Below are 24,054 nucleotides of genomic sequence, written 5' to 3'. Positions count from 1 at the left end.
TGATTTTCTCATATTTATAGTTTGTCATTCTTCTATAAATATGGTTTTGTTATAGTTACTTTGAATTCTTTGTAGCACCAAGTAGAAAAGGCACACAAAAGGAGTGAACTTAGAGGATATGCTTTTTAGCTAAAAGATCAAATCACCTGCTCCTCCAAAGCATATCACAGTGTCCGAGGGCCCTGCCCTTTAAGAGACAATTATTTGAGTCTTAAAGACTTGTTCGTCTTCTGAGCACCTGCAAAAATGTAGTAAGTGGCATTTTCAAGTCTGTATCATCACACACCTAGTGAAACGAAGAGTGTGAGCATGAGGGGAGCCTGAGGGCAGGATGCCGGGGGTAGGGCATGCTCACAGGAGAAAAAGCAAGCACAGAGATGCTCATCACTCACCCAGGGCCTCGCCAAGGGATGCCAGGGGATGGACACCTGAGAAGGGGCTGGGGAACAAACTCTGGCCATGGGAGGCCTGGGTCCAGGTGGCAACACTGCCTGTTAGCAACACGGGACCTTCAGTAAGCCATCTTCATGATGTCCAAAGTCAGGTGGTTGGGTGAGATGGAGTCCATGGTGACTCCAGCCTTGGGATTCCGACCCTGTTCCTGGGGAGGAGGGCCCTGAGGATGCACCTGAGCCCAGGAAGCTGAGACTGCCCTGCTTGCAGCTGGCCCTAGGAGGAGGCACACACTTGGGGCTATATGCAGACCAACTTTGCTCCTCCACTTGAGGGCAATGATCCCCATATTTCCATGGCATCCCCAGGGCACTGACTGGACAAGGAAAGGCTGCAAAGCCAGAGGAACCTTCCAGAATGATCCTCCTGGCAATTGCTTGGATCAAGCAAATGGTCACAGCTGTGTCAGATTGTAAGTTCTCACAGGCTGTGGCAGTAGTTTGCAGTTTTGTCTTCAAACATGGGCTGGGGTGCGGGTTAGCAATGGGGTAAAAAGCAGTGAATGATGTCCCTTGTGGACACTTTCAGAACCCAGGGCCAGAGAGAAATACTAACCTGAGAATAATCTACCCCTTGGAAAACTCACCCCTGAATAAACCACAGGCACTTCCCTCCTGCACCAGCCATGGCCCCATCCAGAGTTCACCCAGCAGCATCTGCATCTCCAATGTCATTGGGCCCACTGCAGCTCCGAGGCACAGTCGAGGCAGGATTTGTTATCTGTTTTACCGATTAGGCAACTGAGGCTTAGAGAGCTTAGACCCACTCAGAGTGGATCACAAAACAGAGATGAGAGCCCAGGCCTCTGTCCCTAACCACCCTGCAGTTCCCAGAGCCCACTTTGCCTTCTGTTCTCAGCATCCCACATGGCCACAGTCCTCAGAAACACACTGGCATTCAGGTCACCCAACACTGACATGGGAGCGGGGGAGGAAAGAATTGCAGGGCTTGGACATGTGGAGCCGGAGCCTGTGGTTCTGCTTGAGTTTCCCTGGTTAACTTTTGAGGGGTCTCAGCCAGGTGTGGCACCGAGTCTGGGCTGCCCAGGCTGTGCATGAGTCCCAGTAACTCTGTCTTCTCTTTTGTGTGTGTGTATTTCTGTGTGTGTGTACATCTATCACACAGAAGAAGAGCGTGATTTCTCCTCCAAGGCCGTTGATCTCCAACCCAGAACTAAAGGGGAGAAGAGCCACCCCCAGCATCCAGCGTGGCATCTCTTGTGCCAGGACCAGGGATGACTGGGCCATGGACACAGATGTCTCCAACCTTCAACCGTTTGCATAGCACACGGGGGACTCGTGGGGGCCACCTGCCACTGCCAGCTGAAACAATACAATGGCAATACTGACATCCTTCATGACGTTTTCCCGACAGACATTCAGGCAGAAAGTGCTGGTGCGTTTTCTGTCTGCAAAGTAGAGGGCCATGCCTCACCAATAGAATAGCGTGGGCCCTGATGACCTGCTCCGAGTCCACTCACAGCCAGTGACACTTGCAAAAAACTCCCAAAGCCGTCTTGGGTTTGGCTCCCACAGCTCTTGACCAATGTGGCCAAAGCTGGACACCTCCTTGGGACACTGGGATTATTCATAAATGCAGCCCGCCCTGACTCTCCCTGAATAGCATCTGAAGTCTTTGTGAAGGTCATGGATCCTGAACAAAGTGTCAAGGGCACCAAGAAGGCTGAGGGAAGTCCCCGGAAGCGGCTGACCAAAGGAGAGGCCATTCAGACCAGTGTTTCTTCCAGCGTCCCATACCCAGGCAGCGGCACAGCTGCCACCCAAGAGAGCCCCGCCCAAGAGCTCTTAGCCCCGCAGCCCTTCCCGGGCCCCTCATCAGTTCTTAGGGAAGGCTCTCAGGAGAAAACGGGCCAGCAGCAGAAGCCCCCCAAAAGGCCCCCCATCGAAGCATCCGTCCACATCTCACAGCTTCCGCAGCACCCTCTGACACCAGCATTCATGTCGCCTGGCAAACCTGAGCATCTCCTGGAGGGGTCCACATGGCAACTGGTTGACCCCATGAGACCTGGACCCTCTGGCTCCTTCGTGGCCCCTGGGCTCCATCCTCAGAGCCAGCTCCTTCCTTCCCACGCTTCCATCATTCCCCCCGAGGACCTTCCTGGAGTCCCCAAAGTCTTCGTGCCTCGTCCTTCCCAGGTCTCCTTGAAGCCCACAGAAGAGGCACACAAGAAGGAGAGGAAGCCCCAGAAGCCAGGCAAGTACATCTGCCAGTACTGCAGCCGGCCCTGTGCCAAGCCCAGCGTGCTCCAGAAGCACATTCGCTCACACACAGGTGAGAGGCCCTACCCCTGCGGCCCCTGTGGCTTCTCCTTCAAGACCAAGAGTAATCTCTACAAGCACAGGAAGTCCCATGCCCACCGCATCAAAGCAGGCCTGGCCTCAGGCATGGGTGGCGAGATGTACCCACATGGGCTGGAGATGGAGCGGATCCCTGGGGAAGAGTTTGAGGAGCCCACTGAGGGAGAAAGCACAGATTCTGAAGAGGAGACTAGTGCCACCTCTGGTCACCCTGCAGAGCTCTCCCCAAGACCCAAGCAGCCCCTTCTCTCCAGCGGGCTATACAGCTCTGGGAGCCACAGTTCCAGCCACGAACGCTGTTCCCTGTCCCAGTCCAGCACAGCCCAGTCACTCGAAGACCCCCCTCCATTTGTGGAACCCTCATCTGAGCACCCCCTGAGCCATAAACCTGAAGACACCCACACGATTAAGCAGAAGCTGGCCCTCCGCTTAAGCGAGAGGAAGAAGGTGATCGATGAGCAGGCGTTTCTGAGCCCAGGCAGCAAAGGGAGTACTGAGTCTGGGTATTTCTCTCGCTCCGAGAGTGCAGAGCAGCAGGTCAGCCCCCCAAACACCAACGCCAAGTCCTACGCTGAGATCATCTTTGGCAAGTGTGGGCGAATAGGACAGCGGACCGCCATGCTGACAGCCACCTCCACCCAGCCCCTCCTGCCCCTGTCCACCGAAGACAAGCCCAGCCTGGTGCCTTTGTCTGTACCCCGGACGCAGGTGATCGAGCACATCACGAAGCTCATCACCATCAACGAGGCCGTGGTGGACACCAGCGAGATCGACAGCGTGAAGCCAAGGCGGAGCTCACTGTCCAGGCGCAGCAGCATGGAGTCCCCAAAATCCAGCCTCTACCGGGAGCCCCTGTCATCCCACAGTGAGAAAACCAAGCCTGAACAATCACTGCTGAGCCTCCAGCACCCGCCCAGTACCGCCCCCCCTGTGCCTCTCCTGAGAAGCCACTCAATGCCTTCTGCCGCCTGCACTATCAGCACCCCCCACCACCCCTTCCGAGGTAGCTACTCCTTCGATGACCATATCACCGACTCCGAAGCCCTGAGCCACAGCAGTCACGTGTTTACCTCCCACCCCCGGATGCTGAAGCGCCAGCCGGCAATCGAATTACCTTTGGGAGGGGAATACAGTTCTGAGGAGCCTGGCCCAAGCAGCAAAGACACAGCCTCCAAGCCCTCGGACGAAGTGGAACCCAAGGAAAGCGAGCTTACCAAAAAGACCAAGAAGGGTTTGAAAACAAAAGGGGTGATCTACGAATGTAACATATGTGGTGCTCGGTACAAGAAAAGGGATAACTACGAAGCCCACAAAAAATACTACTGCTCAGAGCTTCAGATCGCAAAGCCCATCTCTGCAGGCACCCACACATCTCCAGAAGCTGAAAAGAGTCAGATTGAGCATGAGCCGTGGTCCCAAATGATGCATTACAAACTGGGAACCACCCTGGAACTCACTCCACTGAGGAAGAGGAGGAAAGAGAAGAGCCTTGGGGACGAGGAAGAGCCACCTGCCTTTGAGTCCACAAAAAGTCAGTTTGGCAGCCCCGGGCCATCTGATGCTGCTCGGAACCTTCCCCTGGAGTCCACCAAGTCACCAGCAGAACCAAGTAAATCAGTGCCCTCCTTGGAGGGACCCACGGGCTTCCAGCCAAGGACTCCCAAGCCAGGGTCCGGTTCAGAATCAGGGAAGGAGAGGAGAACAACGTCCAAAGAAATTTCTGTCATCCAGCACACCAGCTCCTTTGAGAAATCTGATTCTCTCGAGCAGCCGAGTGGCTTGGAAGGGGAAGACAAACCTCTGGCCCAGTTCCCATCACCCCCACCTGCCCCACACGGACGCTCTGCTCACTCCCTGCAGCCTAAGTTGGTCCGCCAGCCCAACATTCAGGTTCCTGAGATCCTAGTAACTGAGGAGCCTGACCGGCCGGACACAGAGCCAGAGCCGCCCCCTAAGGAACCTGAGAAGACTGAGGAGTTCCAATGGCCCCAGCGCAGCCAGACACTTGCCCAGCTCCCAGCTGAGAAGCTGCCACCCAAAAAGAAGAGGTTGCGCCTGGCAGAGATGGCCCAATCATCAGGGGAGTCCAGCTTCGAGTCCTCTGTGCCTCTGTCTCGCAGCCCGAGCCAGGAAAGCAATGTCTCTTTGAGTGGGTCCAGCCGCTCAGCCTCGTTTGAGAGGGATGACCATGGGAAAGCCGAGGCCCCCAGTCCCTCATCTGACATGCGCCCCAAACCCCTGGGCACCCACATGTTGACTGTCCCCAGCCACCACCCACATGCCCGAGAGATGCGGAGGTCAGCCTCAGAGCAGAGCCCCAACGTTTCCCATTCTGCCCACATGACCGAGACACGCAGCAAATCCTTTGACTATGGCAGCTTGTCCTTGACAGGCCCTTCTGCTCCAGCCCCAGTGGCTCCACCAGCGCGGGTGGCCCCGCCAGAGAGAAGAAAATGCTTCTTGGTGAGACAGGCCTCTCTGAGCAGGCCTCCAGAATCTGAGTTGGAGGTTGCCCCCAAGGGAAGACAGGAGAGCGAAGAACCACAGCCCTCATCCAGTAAACCCTCTGCCAAAAGCTCATTGTCCCAGATTTCCTCTGCGGCCACCTCACATGGTGGACCCCCGGGAGGCAAGGGCCCAGGGCAGGACAGGCCCCCATTGGGGCCCACTGTGCCCTACACAGAAGCACTGCAAGTGTTCCACCACCCCGTTGCCCAGACACCCCTGCATGAGAAGCCATACCTGCCCCCACCAGTCTCCCTTTTCTCCTTCCAGCATCTCGTGCAGCATGAGCCAGGACAGTCTCCAGAATTCTTCTCCACCCAGGCCATGTCCAGCCTCCTGTCCTCACCATACTCCATGCCCCCACTTCCTCCCTCCTTATTTCAAGCCCCACCGCTTCCTCTCCAGCCTACTGTTCTGCACCCAGGCCAACTCCATCTCCCCCAGCTCATGCCTCACCCAGCCAACATCCCCTTCAGGCAGCCCCCTTCCTTCCTCCCCATGCCATACCCGACCTCCTCAGCACTGTCTTCTGGGTTTTTCCTGCCTCTGCAATCCCAGTTTGCACTTCAGCTCCCTGGTGATGTGGAAAGCCATCTGCCCCAGATCAAAACCAGCCTGGCCCCACTGGCAACAGGAAGTGCTGGCCTCTCCCCCAGCACAGAGTACAGCAGTGACATCCGGCTACCCCCTGTGGCTCCCCCAGCCAGCTCCTCAGCACCTACATCAGCTCCTCCACTGGCCCTGCCTGCCTGTCCAGACACCATGGTGTCCCTGGTTGTGCCTGTCCGTGTTCAGACCAATATGCCGTCCTATGGGAGCGCAATGTACACCACCCTTTCCCAGATCTTGGTCACCCAGTCCCAAGGCAGCTCAGCAACTGTGGCACTTCCCAAGTTTGAGGAACCCCCATCAAAGGGGACGACTGTATGTGGTGCAGATGTGCATGAGGTTGGGCCCGGCCCTTCTGGGTTAAGTGAAGAGCAAAGCAGAGCTTTCCCAACTCCATACCTGAGAGTGCCTGTGACATTACCTGAAAGAAAAGGCACTTCCCTGTCATCAGAGAGTATCTTGAGCCTGGAGGGGAGTTCATCAACAGCAGGGGGAAGCAAACGTGTCCTTTCACCAGCTGGCAGCCTTGAACTTACCATGGAAACCCAGCAGCAAAAAAGAGTGAAGGAGGAGGAGGCTTCCAAGGCAGATGAAAAACTTGAGCTGGTAAAACCATGCAGTGTGGTCCTTACCAGCACCGAGGATGGGAAGAGGCCAGAGAAATCCCACTTAGGCAACCAGGGCCAAGGCAGGAGGGAGCTAGAAATGCTGTCCAGCCTGTCCTCAGATCCATCTGACACAAAGGAAATTCCTCCCCTCCCTCACCCTGCATTGTCCCATGGGACAGCCCCAGGCTCAGAAGCTTTGAAGGAATATCCCCAGCCATCTGGCAAACCTCACCGAAGAGGGTTGACCCCACTGAGCGTGAAGAAAGAAGATTCCAAGGAACAACCTGATCTCCCCTCCTTGGCACCTCCGAGCTCTCTGCCTCTGTCAGAAACGTCCTCCAGACCAGCCAAGTCACAAGAAGGTACGGACTCAAAGAAGGTACTGCAGTTCCCCAGCCTCCACACAACCACTAATGTCAGTTGGTGCTATTTAAACTACATTAAGCCAAATCACATCCAGCATGCAGATAGGAGGTCCTCTGTTTACGCTGGTTGGTGCATAAGTTTGTACAACCCCAACCTTCCGGGGGTTTCCACTAAAGCTGCTTTGTCCCTCCTGAGGTCTAAGCAGAAAGTGAGCAAAGAGACATACACCATGGCCACAGCTCCGCATCCTGAGGCAGGAAGGCTTGTGCCATCCAGCTCCCGCAAGCCCCGCATGACAGAGGTAAGTTCAGCCTTGTTTTTCTTCTCATCACTGATTTGCAAAAGCACTTGGCGAGCTTTTAAAGCCACAGTATCCTCAGGTTCCAGTTGCAGAACTAGAGCCAGACTAGTAGTCAGATTTCCTCTCTGAAAGCTGAGACTGGTCACCTTACAAGGAAACATGTTTATTGAGTTTCTTTGTCACTGTATCCCTCATATCATTGGAATAGATACACTTCAATAAAGTTAGCCATAAAGTGATCCTGCTCTGCCATGAATTTCTGTTGTGAAATCAAAGATACAGTCTCAGTAAGAAAAAAAAGAAATTTTCCAAAAGACTGAGTTGGAAAACTTGGCTAACAGGAATGCCTGTAGCAATTTTAGAACTTTTTACCTCTCCTTCATTATATGGATATCCCTTGTCTTGTTAGTCTTTTCCTGCTTTTCTTAATTCTTACATCTGCTGTTTCCATTCTCTAGTACCACTTTAAATCTTCCCATTTCCAAGATTCTAGAATTTGGCACAAACAACTCCTGAAATATTCCTTCTTCCTTTTCTGGGAGTAAGACAGCAAATGGAGCTGAGCTGCAGTATCCCTCCTTACCAGTGGATGGCAATGCCACTCACAGTTTGACCTATTTGTGCTACGTGGTCAAGAAACGCTAATGTTTACGCTTTCATTGCCTTTGATCTGAGGCTACATCAGGAGCTATAAAATGAACTCGTCCCCTGAAAGCTCAGCAAGTTTGAAATTCAATAATTTCAAATGTCAGACAAAAGCCACCACCATACCCTGACAAGGCCAGCCTAGGGATTTGGATTGTGCTGACTTGGCATTTGTGGAATAACAGCTGGTCTTGTTTACTGAGCAGCCTCATGGTGCCAGACACTGTGCTGGGCCCTTGAATCTGGTCACTGCTCACCTCCACCTCTGAAGTAACATAACCATCTCCCTTCTATAGCTTAGGGAACTGAGGGTCAGAGTCTGAGAAAGGTCAAGATAATCTGGCAAATGTTGAACAAACCCAGAATTTGAACCCAGACCTATCTGACTCCAAAGAGTCTATTTTTCTTCTTTTAATTATTTGAGGAGAGAAAATCTTAAAAGTTGACTGCAAATTAAAAAATGTTTATTAGTGTGTCTTCAGACCAGAAGCTCTGACCAAATTAGGTCTAAATTCCCTAAACCAAATTCATATTGTAGATAAGTGAGCACAACTGTGTTCTATAATTTCCTGTGCTCTCATATCTTCCCCTTTTGTCATTCAGTGAACTTTGTGCATTGAATTTGTCCTTAGCTTGACTGGATGTTCTTCACAGAACTGTTTTCCAAATTTATTCCCTAGATGTCTTTGTCAGTCTACAGACATCCCTGACCAAGATTTCCACTTTTGTGTTAATGTCCTGCTAATTTCCTCTTCAGCGTCTCTTACTAGCTGTGGCCACTCCCAAGATGCTGTTATAATTATTCATACTGCTAACTTTTTGGATACCTATTATGTACCAAGTACTATGCTAAATGTTACTTTTCTCCTCACAACCAACTTGAAAGTTAGGGTGCAATATCACCATTTCATAGATGAGGAGACCAAAACACAAGAGAGGTTAAGTAACTTTCACAAGGCCACACAGTAAATGGCAGAGCCTAGATCAAAACTAGATTTTACTCCAATGCCCTTTTGAATTATCTAAGCTGCCTCTAGTTTCTAATGACTGAAAATGTTACAGGCCATTTAAGAGAAAGGAAGTGTTAATTTGGATTCGGCAATTATTTATTTATAGTGCTCCTAAAACCTGCGAACTTTTTCTTGGAATATTCTGTTTGGTTCACTGGCATGTTTCCTTCCAGAATTGCACCAATCTGGTACATTAGTATAACCACATGGTCTATGGCTTAAGGCCTTTTATACAACTACACCTCTCTCTGGTCTCTGCTTGCATACTTCCAGCAAGAGGAACTCACCATCTCATGATGCAGTCCAATTCATCTTTGGACAGTGCTCTAAGAAGGTTCTTTACTGTACTGAGCTGACATTTGTCAGCTTGCGGCTTCCATTCTCTGTTAGTAGTTCTGAAAAAGTCCTTAGGTCTATCTTAGCATTTTGAAGCTCTTCCAAACCATCTTCATGCAGGTCTAGGACACCCCATGATGTTTTTGTTTGGTCATAGATCTTTTCTTCCACGTATAAACCCTGGAGAAACCCCAGCTTGTTCAGAGTCCACTTTGTAGCCACATTCTTTCCTTTTTCCTCCTTGGGAATCATTTTGACAACAACACAGCACTGTCACAAAGTGATTAAGAACAAGGACTCAGGTACCAAGTTGCCCAGGTTTGAATCCCACTACCTTACCTACTGGCTATGTGACCTTGGGCCAATAACTTCACCTCTCTGAGCCTTAGTTTCATCCTCTGTAAAATAGGGATAATAATAACACTTAGCGCATAGGACTGTGGAGATAATTAAATGAGTTAAGACATGCGGAGTGTGCTTAGAACAGTGTATGCCACACTGGCACTCAGTAAGTATTTTTAACTATACTTATTCATATTGTTGTCATCAAAAGCTAAAATGGATCCCTGGTCCCTGCTCAGTTCCAACACTGTGTTTCCTGGGAAAGTGGTACACTGCCACCCAAACCAGCCTCCTCCAGTGTGGCCCAGATATCACGGCAGGCTGTGAGGGAGAAGTAGTCTGTTTGCCTGTGGGAGGCACCTTGGTCATTACATGGACAGTCTAGATCTCAGGCCGGGGTGCAGTGGAAATGGTAGGCTCTGGAAACCCAAGGGTATTGCAGAAAACTAGCTGCCTTCTGCCAAAGCAGCAGTCCAGATTCTTGCTCGGTTTCCACTCCCCTCCTCCAAATCTGAAGAGATTATTTGGTGGTCACTGAGTCACAGAAGTTGCCCTGGAATTGATCTTCAAGATGGTCTAAATCCCCTCAGACTCTGAGGCCCAGAGAGGTGAAGTCATCCACCAAACGGCAGCCCAGTGTGCCATGGCCTATCTGGTGCTGGAACTCAGACTCCCTGATTCCCAGCCAGTCACCTTTCTACCTAGCCCCATGCTGTCCTTGTGGGGGCAGGTGTGGTGGCTGGCAAAGGGGACTGCCGTTCTTAGATTGCCCCAGCATCAGGAAATGTGGTTGCTTCATTCACTGGATGGAAACAGCATGGTTTTTCATGACCTTAATGACAGTGGCATGAAGTAGGAGGAAATTCTCACTCCCAGCCCCTAAGCACAGCATTTCTGCTCCCTAGGCAAAAGTGCACCCACCCCTGACAACACTGCAGTGTTTACAGGACGTGTTCTTGGGATAGTGGAAGATGTCCAGGAAGCACAAAGCCAATGCCAGCTCTCCCCTTAAGCTAGCTCTCATCACTGAGGTGTGGCTCTGTAAAGAGCGTGGGTCCTGCAGGACTAACAGCCCAGAGCCTGCACAGCCTCTCTGTGCCTGTCTCTATGGTGGAATTGGGGACGTCCTGCTGGTCAGGGTCCTCAGCCCAGCTCCTGGCCTTTGGTACTAGCTCAGGAGGGCCAAGATCCTGGAAGCAAGAGACCTGTGCTCTGCTCCCAGCTCTGCCCTTAACTCGCTGGGTGACCTTAGCTTTCTGATCTATAAACAAGAACTGGACCAGTTCATCTCCAAAGGCAGAGTGGAGCCTTGTTCATGTGTTCAACATTATTTAAGCCTCTTCTCTGAGACAGGCCCTGTATGGGGTTCTGGGGTGCCCAAGGAGACCAAGATGAGGACCTGTCCCCAGGAGTTCCCAGACTAGTGTAAAAGACAGAGAACAAACACAGGTCTTATGGGAGGTTAACATGAAAGAGACAGGGTTCCAGCTGTAACACCAACTAATGGCATGGCCTTGGATAAGGGAATTCTCTCTGGGGATCAGTTTCCTTAATTCTGTAAAGTGGAGCTAATAGCACCTCTTCATGGGGGAGTGTGAAGATTGCATATGTGTACTTGTGCAGTACTGTGTAAGGCATGATTATTAGCATTGCATTCGTGACTGAGGATGCACTTTTAACCAGCAATGATTTTGTCATTCCTGCGGTGGGCCAGGTTCACCTCCCTTCACTGGTTTCCCCGGAAGGCCAGAAAGATCTAGCTAGAGTGGAGAAGGAAGAAGAGAGGAGAGGGGAGCCGGAGGAGGATGCTCCTGCCTCCCAGAGAGGGGAGCCGGCGAGGATCAAAATCTTCGAAGGAGGGTAAGACTCATGTTTGGTTTCCATCGTCTGCTTCCGTGGAATAAGAGCTGGTGCCCATTGGTGTTCACGGGCAGCAGTGGCTCAGTTGGCAAGGGCTCTGCCCACAGGTGCCCTGTGGTCCCAGCGATGCCTTTCAGCAGACATCACCTTCCTGGGACTCTCAGGCCCCTCTGTTTAAGAATGCCGTGGGGCTTCTTGGTGGGGATGGGTGATGCTGGGTATTTGTTGAGGATCTGGAGAGGTCTGGGTCTTTCTCCAGCCCCTCATTTTCTCAGATCCTGGCCAGGTTTCTAGTTCCTGCATTGGAGTTGCCATCCCAGTATCCCAGCAAATGTCCAGACTTCTGTCTCTCTTGACATGTATTCTCCAAAAGTCATCTCTGTACTGCCCAATGGCCATCTTGGCATGTCTGGTTTCCCATGGGGCACTTGGGCTCAGCCGACTAGGCTGTTTGCAGGGCTGACTGCACACTGTATGCACCAGGTGTTTCCACTGGTCCCTATCCTGACTGGCTGGGGCCCAGGGCTCAATGGTTGGTGAATATTTTGAATCTCATTCATAGTTATTCACCTTTGATGCTTGACTTTGGGAAACGAATGGTCTAAACGTTTCAGAGCTCACAGCTTCAGGGACTGTCTGGGCTCTGGAAGGGTGCCGTGTTTCAGACGTGCTTTGTGGAAGTTTTGTGCCAGCTGTGTTTTGTGTGGCCACATGTTTGCTTCCTGGGATTTGGGTGTCTGTGAGCAGGTCCCATGGCGTTCTGTCTCAGGGTCCTGTGTCTGTGTCCCTGGTGTGATCAGGGTGGCCTGGTCCTGCACAGCCCTGAAGGACAACAACGTAGAGGAAAATGCGCTTCCTGTGCAGGACAGTCCCCATGAGCTGGGGCCAACATGGCTGTCACTGGGGGCCTCTGATCCTCTAGCACCTGCAAGCGCCTAACTCACAGGGTCAGCGTGGGAGGCACGGGAGTCCTCCATAAGGTTGGGGGACAACAGAGACTGCCACCCTCCCCAGGGCCACCAGTTGGCATCTTCTGGTGGCACTGACCAGCAGGGGCTCTCAGGAGAGAGGGTGCTTGGAAATGTGGGCAGCAGGGTAGTCAATGATGGGAAGGGGGCCAGGGGTAGCAAATGCCCCTGAAACCTACTGCCTAAAATACCAATAGCAGCTGCGTTGAAAAAACACTGAACCAAAGGTCTTTGAAAATGCCAACCCTCTTTCCGTGTGGGGAGGGACGCGGGTCCTCCTGCTGTTTGGTTAGAGCGCCCTCGTGTGTCTCTGTGTTCTCATGCCACTGGATCCCTTAGAGGCCACACAGAGGCAGGATTGATGAAGCGCCTGCTCACAGCGACTGGCCCTCTTCCTTCTTGCTTCAGAGGTTCTCTGTGGTCTCTGAGGGCTGCTGAGTGTTTCCTGGTGTCCCAGGAGCTTGCCCCAGCAGCAGTCTGTGTGTGCCCGGGGAGGTTCGCATCTTCCCTGAGAGGCAGGTGCTCTGAGACCTCAGGAAGCCTGAGCCTCCAGAAAGGCAGCTGGCAGGAGCCACTCCGTGCCCAGCTCCCTGCTGGATGTCTCTACCTACACGGTCTGCAATGGCTGAAGGAGGGGGAACATCACCCACAAGTCCTCTTCTCTTCCTCCAGCTGGTATGGGTCCTACTCCCTCTCCACCTCCTTCCAGGTCTTCACTTAGTCCCACCTGCTCTGCTTCAGAATCCTCTCGGTTGAGTTCTGTCATCTCTGCCCCACTTACCTCTGTTCTGCCTGAGACTAGCCCCCCAGCTCTCCCGCCCTCAGTTTCTTTATCTGTAAAAGGGGGAGAATAACATTTGTAAAAGGGGGAAAATAACATGTGGGATTTTCAGAGGACCTTGTGAGACCCCATATGAAGGCTATAATTCATAGCTGCTCAAAAAATGGACATTGGTGCATTTTACTACTAGTATATCCATTTTGTCAATCTCTGTCTGGGACAGTCCCATCTGTTCTGTCAGATATGGAAGGTATCCTCTCCCTTTCAACTTGTCACATGCAATTTGAGCACGTATGGAACTGATTATAGTGTCAGATCCTTTCCTCCCCCAGCCTGGCTATCTCAAGCTGGGACCATGCCTCCCACTCTCACTTCTGGTGATTCTTCTACATTCATGGTTCTCTTGGGGCTGGCATCACCCCGCAGAGTGTTTGGAAATGGTGAAGGAGGGGGAGGGCATTTTGGTTGCCACATAACTGGCATTTCAGGGACGAGGCCAGAGATGCTGACCTTCCATTCCACCAGCCTTACAACCTCTTGTTCCCCCAAATTGCCAAGAGTGCCCACACCCAGAATCACTGGGCACACTCCTCTGCAATCCCACAGTTTTGCCTTAGACTCAGTTCTTCCTTTTTTTTCTTTCTTTTTTAATACAACAAACATATGTATTTCACTCCTGTACACATTTGAGAAGGATCTGCTATGGAGCTCTGTTCCTTAGATCCAGGCCAGTAGAGGCTGAGAGAGGAAGAAGAAAACAATGGTTCCACCCAGAAGCTTCTGCTCACATTTAAATGGCCAAAGCAAGTCACATGGCCTCACCTAGCTCCATGGGAGTAGAGAAGTGCATTCCTACCGTGTGCTTGGGAGAACCTGAAATATTTGGTAGATATAGTGCTCATGACTATTCAAATTGGTTTAACATACATCTGTAACTTGTTATGTTTACTCAACAGTGTTTTTGACGTGCATCCATGTTGATACATGTAGACCTAGTTCATCATGAATCAGTAAGCCAGACACAAAAGAGTAGATGCTATATGAGTCTTTTAATCTCTAATTAAACTTGCCTTAATTTCTTTCTTGACCTCCATTTCAGTGACTGATCAATTTATTAATTCATCAGGGAGGAGGATCTACTTAATCAGTGCCTTTTGGGTGCTCTGTGTCAGAAAATGCAGTGTCCCATGGGGGTTAACTGTCATCCTGCCCTCAAGGTGCTTGGGGACTACACCAAGGTGGCAACACAAGACCCACTGCTAAGGTGGGGATGGCCAGAGCTGAGAAGCTCACAGCAAAGGAAGGATGCCTGGGGGATGGAATAGCTAGAGAGGGCTTCCCGGAGTGGGTGGGGCCGGGCCCAGAGGGTGGGCGAGACCCAGACAAGTGGAGAGGAAGGGTACGCTGCCCAGCAGTCTACCTGCTACAGGTGTGATGGCAGCTCCCATACCTGATCAGTGAGACTCACTTCCTCTTGCCTTGAGCATTCTCCCTTGGTAGTGTCACCCATCTCCTTAGCCCCAGGCCTCATCTCTGTGCCGACATTGCTACATCTGGGTCTCCAGCCAGGACCTCACCCCTGAACTGCAGACACTGGTTTTGATGCCTCCTGAGCATTTTTGCCTGGGAAATTCACACCTCACACTTAGCATGTGCAAACCAAGCCTTCCACTTCCCACCAACAGCATCTCCTTCCACATCCAGATCTCAGATGACACACCCAGCCCTTCACACTCAGAACCTTAACATTGTCTTGGACGCCTTCTCCCCCTTTCCAGTTAGACCCCAATCCTGGTGTCTGCATGAAGTAGTCAGTGACTCAGTGTGGTCTCTTTACTCCCTCTGCCACTGCTCTGGCCACCCTATCTCTAGAACTCCAAAGTTGGTGCCACTGAGCATCACTAAACATGATTCTGCCTGTGTCATGCTTTTCTCCAGAGCCGTCTGTGGCTGCCTCACCTACAGGATCCAGTTTAAACTCAGCCTGTGAGTGCTGGCCTCAGAATCTGACCTGTTCCTGTCGCCCTTCACCTTTTGCTGCCTGCTGGGCCCTGCCATTGCCAAATCCTACCCAGCCTTCAAAAGCCAATACTCAGCCCTGCTCCTCTAACGAGCCTCCCAAATCCCTCCACACTCTGTAGTTCTTTGTGTTACTTCTGTCATAACACTGGTGCTAAGATCCATTTCTGTCTCCTCCCAAGTCCCTTCTTGACTTGGGTCCTGGGGTAATGCTTTGCACACACAATGCATCAGTCTCTGTTTATTGCACTAGTTTCCTGGCACATGGCCCCCTCTGCATTCCCCATCACTTCCACACCTGAACAAAGCCCGCATTTTCCAGGCAGCCCCTGGGAGTGCCCATCAGGGATGTGATGGCTCTCTCACCCAGCACCTGTGCATTTGCCTTGGTTGTTTAGAATGGCTTTTTGTTAAGCAGTGTTGTTTTCACACACACAAAGTTATGTTGTTCCTTGAGAGTAATGACTATATTGTCTTAACTCAAGTTCACTTATTGCAAGGAAAGCTGGGAATTCAGCCCAGTGGGCTTACACGGAAGAGGAAGAGACTGGAATTGATAGGAACCACCTGGCTGACCAAGCCCAGTTGGGTGGTGTGTTATTGGGGCTTATGTCCGAAGGGAATGATAAGTTCAGATGGTGAGATCCCAGGAGTCCATGCCAGACCCTGCGTGCTGCAGGACTCAGCTGCTGCACCTCCTATGGGAGGGCATTGGCTCCCATCCCACCTCACCTACCCCAGTACCTCACTCCAGCCATTGCCACTCTCCTGGGCCAGGAGAGTGCTCCTTAAGCATACCCAGACTTAAGGTTTCCACCTTAAAAATACTTTGGCTGAAGGGCCATATTGCCAGATTTCTCTGTTTCCTTTAAAGAAAAACTCCAGAAGAAGGTGACTGTGTTGCTCACCTCCGTATCTTTCCTCCTGGCTTCTCTCAGACCTATTCAAGGTGGGCCTTTGGGCTCCTCACACCTCAGAAGCTGCTCTTATCCAAGTCAATGATGACCCTCACCTTGCAGAAGTCAGTAGTCAGTTCTCACTTCTATTCTTTCCTGAGCCATCGGCAGCATTTGACACAGTCAATCCTTCGCTCGTCCATGCAGGACTTTGTCCTCTTGGTTTCCTGGACACTGCCTGTATTAGTCTGTTTTCACACTGCTATAAAGAACTGCCCAAGACTGGGTAATTTATAAAGAAAAGAGGTTTAATTGACTCATTCACATGGCTGGGGAGACCTCAGGAAACTTACAATCATGGTGGAAGGTGAAGGGGAAGCAAGGCACCTTCTTCGCAAGGTGGCAGGAAGGAAAAATGCATGCAGGAGGAACTACCAAACGCTTATGAAACCATCAGGTTTCATGAGAACTCATGCACTGTCACCAGAATGGTATAGGGGAAACTGCCCCCATGATTCAATTCCTCCACCTGGTCTCTCCCTTGACACATGGGGATTATAGGGATTACAATTCAAATGAGATTTTGGGTGGGGACACAGACAAACCCTATCACCTTCTTTCTTGATCCTCCTCTTCCTTGACTGGTTACACTTTCTCACCATCTTCAGTGAGTCCCATCATCGCCTGATCTCTGAACATTAGGGCTCCACATGGCCCAGCCCCAGGCTCCGTGCTCTTCCTCTAAACTCAGTCCCAACGTGATCTATACACCATCTACAGGTTGATGACACTCAGATCCCTATCTCCAAGGACTTCTCCTCTGAACTCCGGGTCATGCATCCAACTTCGTATCTGGGAGGCGGTCCACCTGCACATCAGTGAACCCACCCTTTGTCCACAGCACAGCGCATACTGCAGAACTGTGTCTCAGGCCTCTTTGACATTCCTTAAAGAAATTATTTTAAAAGTTTATTTAATTCATTACTGTTCCAGTTGAAGGGGTTACATTTTTAACGAGTGTACTTTTCTATCTCATCTATTTCTATAGCTGAATTAATTTTTATCCAAGTCTTAAGAGTTCATGCAGTGTACGCAGCACGTTTTTGTGACAGTGCATTTGTACATTTTGAAGTGTGTGTGTGTGTGCCTGTGTATGTGCACACATACCTGTGTGTTTCATGAAATAGTAGCTTGGAGAGAATAGTGTTAGTTTTAAAAAATCTAAAGATTATTTTCTTTTCTAATAGTTTTTTTACAAATCCATTTCTTCTTGGACTTTGAAACCCAGAAGTGTAGCATGATTTTCAGCCTAATCATCTGCTGTGCCTAGTCCCATTTTGCTGTGAACTCCAGATTTAGAATTATGTCTTTGGGAATATGTGTTACCTCTGTGTATTTATTGGGGAACAAATTGATTAAACTATGAATTAAATAAGTGGTAATAAGTTGGAGCCTTTTGGATAGGTGTGTAAAAAATAAAGTCAGTAAGCCACTCTAAGAACCTAAACAGTAGCAAAACCACATACCACAGGAGGGTTGGTGGCGTGGAGGTTGGGAAATGTATAACATAGGTAGACAAACTGTGCCCATTACCCACACTTGCTTTATATCTCTTTAAAGTCTTTTAAGTGGTCAAAGATGGGTATAGTAGTCAGTTCTTGCATTGCTATAAAGAAATACTGAAGACTGGGAAATTTATAAAGAAAAGAGGTTTAATTGGCTCATGGTTCTGCAGGCTATACAGGAAGCATGCTCCTGGCATCTGCTCGGCTTCTGGGGAGGCCTCAGGAAACTTTCAATCATGGCAGGAGGTGAAGGGGAAGCAGGTGCTTCTTACATGGCTGGAGCAGGAGCAAGAGCGGGAGGGATGTGTCACACAAGTTTTAAACAACCAGATCTCAGAACTCACTATAGTGACGACAGTATGAAGAGGGGATGGTGTTAAACCATAAGACACTGCCCCCATGATCCAGTCACCTCCCACCAGGCCCCATCTCCATTACTGGGGATTACAATTTGACATGAGATTTGGGCAGGGACACAGATCCAAACCATATCAGTGGGGAAAGGCATCTTCTGAAGGAGAGCGGCAAAGTCACTCATTCAGTTAAGCAAGATGGACATTCTGCATAGGCAGTTTCATTTTTCTAGATGCTTGGACCGAAAGCCACTCTGTCTTACATCATTAGCAAATCCTGGCAGCTTGGCCCTGAAACCGTATCTAGAATCTGCCCATTTTTCCCAACCTCTGGGTCAGGCCACTGGTAGCTCACACCTGGGTGATCACAGTGTCCTACAGTCACCTGCTCCCACCTTCCCCACTGTGGTCCGTTCTCAGCCCAACAAGAGTGATCCTGTTAAGGTCCACACACCCTGCCGCTCCTACGCCGTGTCCCCCGAAGCCCTCACGGGCCTGCATGTGCCGGCTCCAGCTCCTCCCTGACCTCTGCCTATGGCTCTCGCCCTGCTCCCTGGGCTTTGGCCAAGCTCTGCTCTTTGTAAGACAAGCTTCTGCCCCAGGGCCTTTGCACTTGCTGTGCTCTCTGCCTGGAGCTCTTTTTCCAGAGACTCTCATGGCCCCCTCACTTCTCTCCATCACCCTTCAGTGAAGCCTTCCCACACTACCCACGATGAATTTGCACACTCCATGGCACTTCTTATCCTCTTCCTTTCCTGCTTTATTTTTCTCCAGGTATTTACTAGTGTGCTTCTGTTTCCTCCACCAGACTGTAAGCTCTGTGAGAGGGCAGGAACTATGTTTTGTTCATTGCTGTGTCCCCAGTGCTGAGAATAGTGCCTGGCACATAGGCAGTGCTGGGGAATATCTATTAAATGAAGGAATCTTCCTCCAATGTGCTCAGGATTGACTGAGACCTTGGGTGAGAGGGCAGGTCCCTGAACTCTGCAGCTCTTAGAATCTGGGAACAGAATTGAGACTCTGGGTCTCAGGAAGGATCAAGGACACAACGAAGGCGAAACCAGGCCAGTGAGAACCCATCCATCAGCCTGAAGGCAGGCTTGGTCTGGGGAAGGTGAAGTCAGATGGCCTCTGTTATGGGGCAGGCTCTGGGGTTGGGAGCCAAGGACTCTTCCTTGCAGACCATTCTGCTCTGCAGGTGTTCAAGGTAAAAATGAAATACATAATGCCAGAAAGGGATGGCTCGTGGGCCAGCTCCCAGGCCAGGGCCTTCTCTGAGCAGAGCCCTTTGTGTTCTAGAAGCCGAGAAAATGGGTCCTACGTTCTCAGCTCTGGGTGAGGGGCTGCTCTTCTTCTGGGGTGGGTCTAGGCTATCAGGGCCCTGCCTTATCCCTGAGGCCCAGCACCTTGCTCTCTCTTTAATTCTCAGGCTTCTCCCCAGAAATGTAGATGTGCAGCTCTGAGCATGGCCCAATGGGCTGGGGAGTGAAGTGTCCAGCCCCCATCACATGAGCCCACACTGGGCTATTTCCTCTTTTTCTTTATACCTCCAAATCCTGTTGCCCCCTCTCTCCTGGGGAATATAACCCAGACTTTGGGAAGGAGTAGTGGTTGTCAGGGCAGCACGAAGAGCAGGATCCTGAAAGCCCAGGTGAGACATCAATGGTTTAGACCAGGAACATGGCAGTGAAGATGGAAAGAGGAGCTATAGGACTTCTGATGACTATGGAGGCTGAGAGAGAAGCCTCCACTTGAGACTGACTACCGTATTTCTTGTAGTAACCACTGAGTAGATGGTGGTGCCCTTTATGGGGTGAGAAGGGATGGAGGAGGGAAGTGAAAAATAGGTCTGGGGACAGGGAGATCAAAACTTGTTGGACATGTGACTTTTGAGATGCCAGGCCAAGTGGAGATGTTCAGGGAGACATTTGGCAATTGGATAGATGAGCCTGGCCCTCAGAGGAGAGGCCTGAGGCTGAATACACTCTTCAGAGTTGTCAGTGTATAGATGCAATTTAGTGCTATGGGCCAAGATGGGCCATCTTGGGGGAGATGGAGAAGAAAGAAAAGAAAAAGGCATCCAGGACTGATCCCAGGATACCAGCATTTCTAGGGCAGACAGACACACTGCTGCAGAAGAGATTGAGGAGGAATCGCCAGAGAAGCAGGAAGAGACCCAGCCAAGTGTGAATCCTGGATGCCAAGAGAAGAGAATGTTCAAGGAGGAAGGAGGCTCAGCCCGGTGAGGACAGGCATGTGGCACGTGCCCATTCAACAGGGCCCTGTGCAGGTGACTGGTGACTGATGGGCGCTGTTTCCATAGTGATGGAACCCTGATGGTATGGGCCAAAATGAGGAGTGGAGGTGCCTGTGTAAGCGTTGTCCTAAGAGACTGGCTGTGGAGGAAAGCAGCACAAATCAGGGAAGCAGTGCCTGGAGGGAGTGTGAGCTGGAGCAGACAGGTGTTTGAACTGAGAAGTCCTCATGTGTGTTTGCTGCAAGGAATGCCTTCTAGCAAGGGGCAGGTGATGATGCCAAGGAGAGAAGGGGCAGGGGGCAGGAGCAAAGCCCTGGGGACCTGCAGGGGCATTGATGAGAAGAAGACACTTCCCTGGTCATGATAGGAGGAAGAGAGGATGCTGGTTTGGGGGTGGGCAGTGGGGAGGATTCTCTCAGCCCCATTCCAGGCCTCTTTTCACTATTCCAGGCCACCTATGGGCTTGAGGTCTTCACCCACCATGCATTTGTGAATGACTATTTTGAAACCAGAGTGGAAAATTTCTGTACCCAGAAAATCACTTAGACTCTTGGAAAAGTTGTTACTCCATAAAGATGATCCTTCAAGAAAAATCTCCTGTGTTGGTCTAGTTAGGGTGACTGTGCTGGCCTTCTGGATTTCCTCTGAGGACTCAAAGGACTTCCCAGGGAACACTCACTCCGGTCATCAGAGACAACTGATGATGTGCTGTGAAACCCAAGTCATGGATGGTTAAAAAAAAATGTGAAAAGCGAAGTGGAAAGAAAAAAGACATATTGATCATTGGGCAGACTGAGTGTCTGAGTATGCTGGACCCAGAGCCTTCCAGAGCTCTGAGCCCTGTCAGGGAAGATCTCTTTGCCTCGTATTAAAATTTAAAAGGAGACTTTTTTTCAAGCGGGTACAGCCTTAGGTTCCTGGGTAGGGGGGTCTCGGGCAGCCCCTGGTAGTCCCCTGAGAGCTACAACGAGGATGTAGCATCCTCTGGTCCTGGACACTGTCTGCCTGGATCCTGGCCTCTGTTTCTGTCCTGGGGAATCAGGCTGGGCTCCCAGGAGGAAGCTGGCTTCTCTCTGTCTCTCTCCTGTGGGTAAAGCAGCTTCTTAGAGAACAGAGGCATATGTGCTCGCTTGCCCTCTCTCTCTCTCTGTGTGTGTGTGTGTGTGTGTGTGTGTGTCTTTCAGTTTTTATCAAAGTTACACATGTCTGGAGTTTAAAGAGTCAAATATTTCCATAGATTTTGTTGTGGGAAACAGCAGTACTCTTTCTCTTTGCCCCACATTTTCTCTCTGCCCAACCCCCACCCACCCACCGGTCACCACTCCCAGAAGCAGTACCTTTCATCTCTTTTGGCAGATTGTCTTGGTTTGCCATATCTCTACATAATGTGCTTGGGTTGCCCATGACTTGGCTTCTCAGCTTCAGCATTATCTGCAGGCTCCAAAGCCTTTGCCATTCGCATTCCACCTCCGGCCACCTCCCTATCCTCTCATTAGTGTTGTATCATAAATAATTCACAGCCAAGCCATAAAGTAAACCATGATTACTTTCCTTTCCTGTTTTCACTGTGTATAATCATTGTATGTATGTGTGCTTAACTGCACTTTGTTTTCTATACATTTGTTACTAATTCAACCCCAGATTCACGCCTCACCCAAATTTCCCCTCAAGACATTGGAGATGTTCAGCAGCACCTGACGCTCTGTGCATCTTGTCTTGCTGAGGCAGGGGCTCCGCTGAGTTGTCTGGTGGCTCCTGACTGCCCCGGGGCTCCCCTCTCCATGGTGGTGCACTCTCATCCAGCGAGCTCCCTCCACCCACTCCCGGAGGTCCTCTCTGCCTCCTGTGTTGGGTCTTCTCTTTCCAGAACCTTGGGTCTTCCTTTTCCTTGGTTTTCATCCTCATCTTACAGAGACCATCCTTCAGTGTGGTCTTCTTCAGAGAAGATGCATGAGAGGGAAATACTTTGATCCTTCACATATCTGAAAATGCTGGAAATGTCTTTATTCTATTTTGCAGTAGATTGAAATCTATCATAGAATTCTGGGGTGGAAATCATTTTCCTTCAGTATTGTCAAGACATTGCTCCATTGCCATCTAACTTCCTGGGTTGCTCTTAAAAGCTCCAAGTCCATTCTCAGTCCTGTTGCCTTCTTTAGGGTCCTGTCTTAGGATCTTCTCTACAACCCTAGAACATGACGTCTCACAGTGATGGGTCTTGGTGTGGGTCAGTTTTCTCACTCAGTGGCTCTTTCAGTCTGGTGACCCTGGGACTTCTGCTTTAAGAAAATGTCTTGAGTTCTTTGATTATCTCCTCTCCTCTGTTTCTTCTCTCTCTCTGGAACTGCTGTTATTCAGGCCTTGGCCCTCCTATCTGTTTTCTCTGATTTTCATACCCTCTGTCACATTTTCCATTGCTTTGCCTTTTTGCTGGATTCTCTGAGTACGTCCCTCCATTTTTGTCTCCATCCATTCTATTGAGTTTTTTCTTGTTGTTGTTGTTGTTGTTGTTTGAGATGGAGTCTTGCTCTGTTGCCAAGCTGGAGTGCAGTGGCACGATCTCGGCTCACTGCAGCCTCCACCTCCTAGATTCAAGCAATTCTCCTGCCTCAGCCTCCCGAGTAGCTGGGACTACAGGAGCCCGCCACCATGCCCTGCTAATTTTTTGTATTTTGAGTAGAGACAGGGTTTCACCATGTTAGCTAGGCTGGTTTCGATCTCCAGACCTCATGATCTGCCCTCTTCAGCCTCCCAAGGTGGAGTTTTTGATTTCTACTGTCACATTTTCAGTTTTCAAGAATTTTTTTTTCTTGAATGTCCCTTTAATGGCATCCTGTTCTTGTTTGATAGACTCTACTATCTTATCTCTCTAAGGCTATTAACGTTAGTTGTTATTAATGTTACTTGGTGTTTTTGGCTTTGTTCTTGTTCTGTTTTTAGGTTTTTTTCCTGCGTGGTTTCTGTTTCTCTCAAGTGCCCCTTTATTGTGTGTTTATTTGGTCTCGTTTCTCAGACATCTGATAGCCTTTGGTGTCTTCTCATGTTTAAGAGTGGAGGGGCTCAAAGATGATTGGAAGTGATGAGTGAGGCTCTTTGACGGCGAGTTCCCCATAGCTGACTGCCGGGGCTGTTTCGTCGGGGAGTCTTCAACAGTGGTGCCTTTCTTCTTGAGCAGAATCAATCCCTATGAAGACTCAGTCTCCCTCTTGGTTAAAGGGTCTGCTTCCCATGTTCTGGAAGCCGCAGGAAAAAGTCAGGGAGGAGGGGAAGAAGGAGGGGTCTCTGCAGCCAGTCTGTATGCATTGCATTCACTTCCTCCCCACTATTTTTTTTTTTAATTTTTATCTATTTATTTTTTTTGAGATGGAGTCTCTCTATCGCCCAGGCTGGAGTGCAGTGGCATGATCACAGCTCACTGCCACCTCCGCCTCCTGGGTTCAAGAAATTCTCCTGCCTCAGCCTCCTGAGTAGCTGGGATTACAGGTGCCTGCCACCATGCCCAGCTAATTTTTGTATTTTTAGTAGAGATGGGATTTCGCCATGTTGGCCAGGCTGGTCTTAAACTCCTGACTTCAAGTGATCCGCTCACTTCAGCCTCCCGAAGTGCTGGGATTACAAGCATAAGCCATGCGCCCGACCCCCACTATTTCTTTATGGCACCCCTGCCATGCCCTCATTGTGCCTGACATCCCCCCTCAAAAGGGCTCAGTTTCAACTTGTGCAGAGAAGAAACCTCCAGGCTTTCTCTGGGGTGGGTGGGGGGAGAGTCTCCTGAGCTGCTGGAGTTGGGGCGGGGATGGGAGTCTGACAGCTTCTAACAAGACTTTCCACCAATCGTCCTTACCTTGGTTCCCTCCACCCC

The 24,054-nt window shown here is 50.4% G+C and overlaps 2 protein-coding genes across 3 annotated transcripts in view; both read left to right on the top strand.

The window, feature by feature from the left end:
• Nucleotides 1-1,591, top strand: part of LOC128125817 (uncharacterized) — a 43,511-nt gene extending 41,920 nt beyond the window's left edge. Inside the window, exon 2 of the mRNA NM_001415000.1 lies at nucleotides 1,579-1,591. Within this exon, the coding sequence (NP_001401929.1) occupies nucleotides 1,579-1,591 (13 nt within the window). The remainder of the gene's footprint in view (nucleotides 1-1,578) is intronic.
• HIVEP3 (HIVEP zinc finger 3) overlaps nucleotides 1-24,054 on the top strand; it is a 529,570-nt gene that overhangs the window by 449,038 nt on the left and 56,478 nt on the right. For both annotated transcript variants that reach the window (NM_001127714.3, NM_024503.5), the window contains 2 exons: nucleotides 1,579-7,160; nucleotides 11,208-11,353. In NM_001127714.3, the coding sequence (NP_001121186.1) occupies nucleotides 2,100-7,160; nucleotides 11,208-11,353 (5,207 nt within the window). In that variant the 5' untranslated portion in view covers nucleotides 1,579-2,099. The remainder of the gene's footprint in view (nucleotides 1-1,578; nucleotides 7,161-11,207; nucleotides 11,354-24,054) is intronic.

This window comes from Homo sapiens, chromosome 1 (assembly GCF_000001405.40).
Source record: "Homo sapiens chromosome 1, GRCh38.p14 Primary Assembly".
Lineage (NCBI taxonomy): Eukaryota > Metazoa > Chordata > Mammalia > Primates > Hominidae > Homo > Homo sapiens.
Note: the sequence above shows the minus strand (reverse complement) of the source record. Positions and strands in the feature narration are given on the sequence as shown.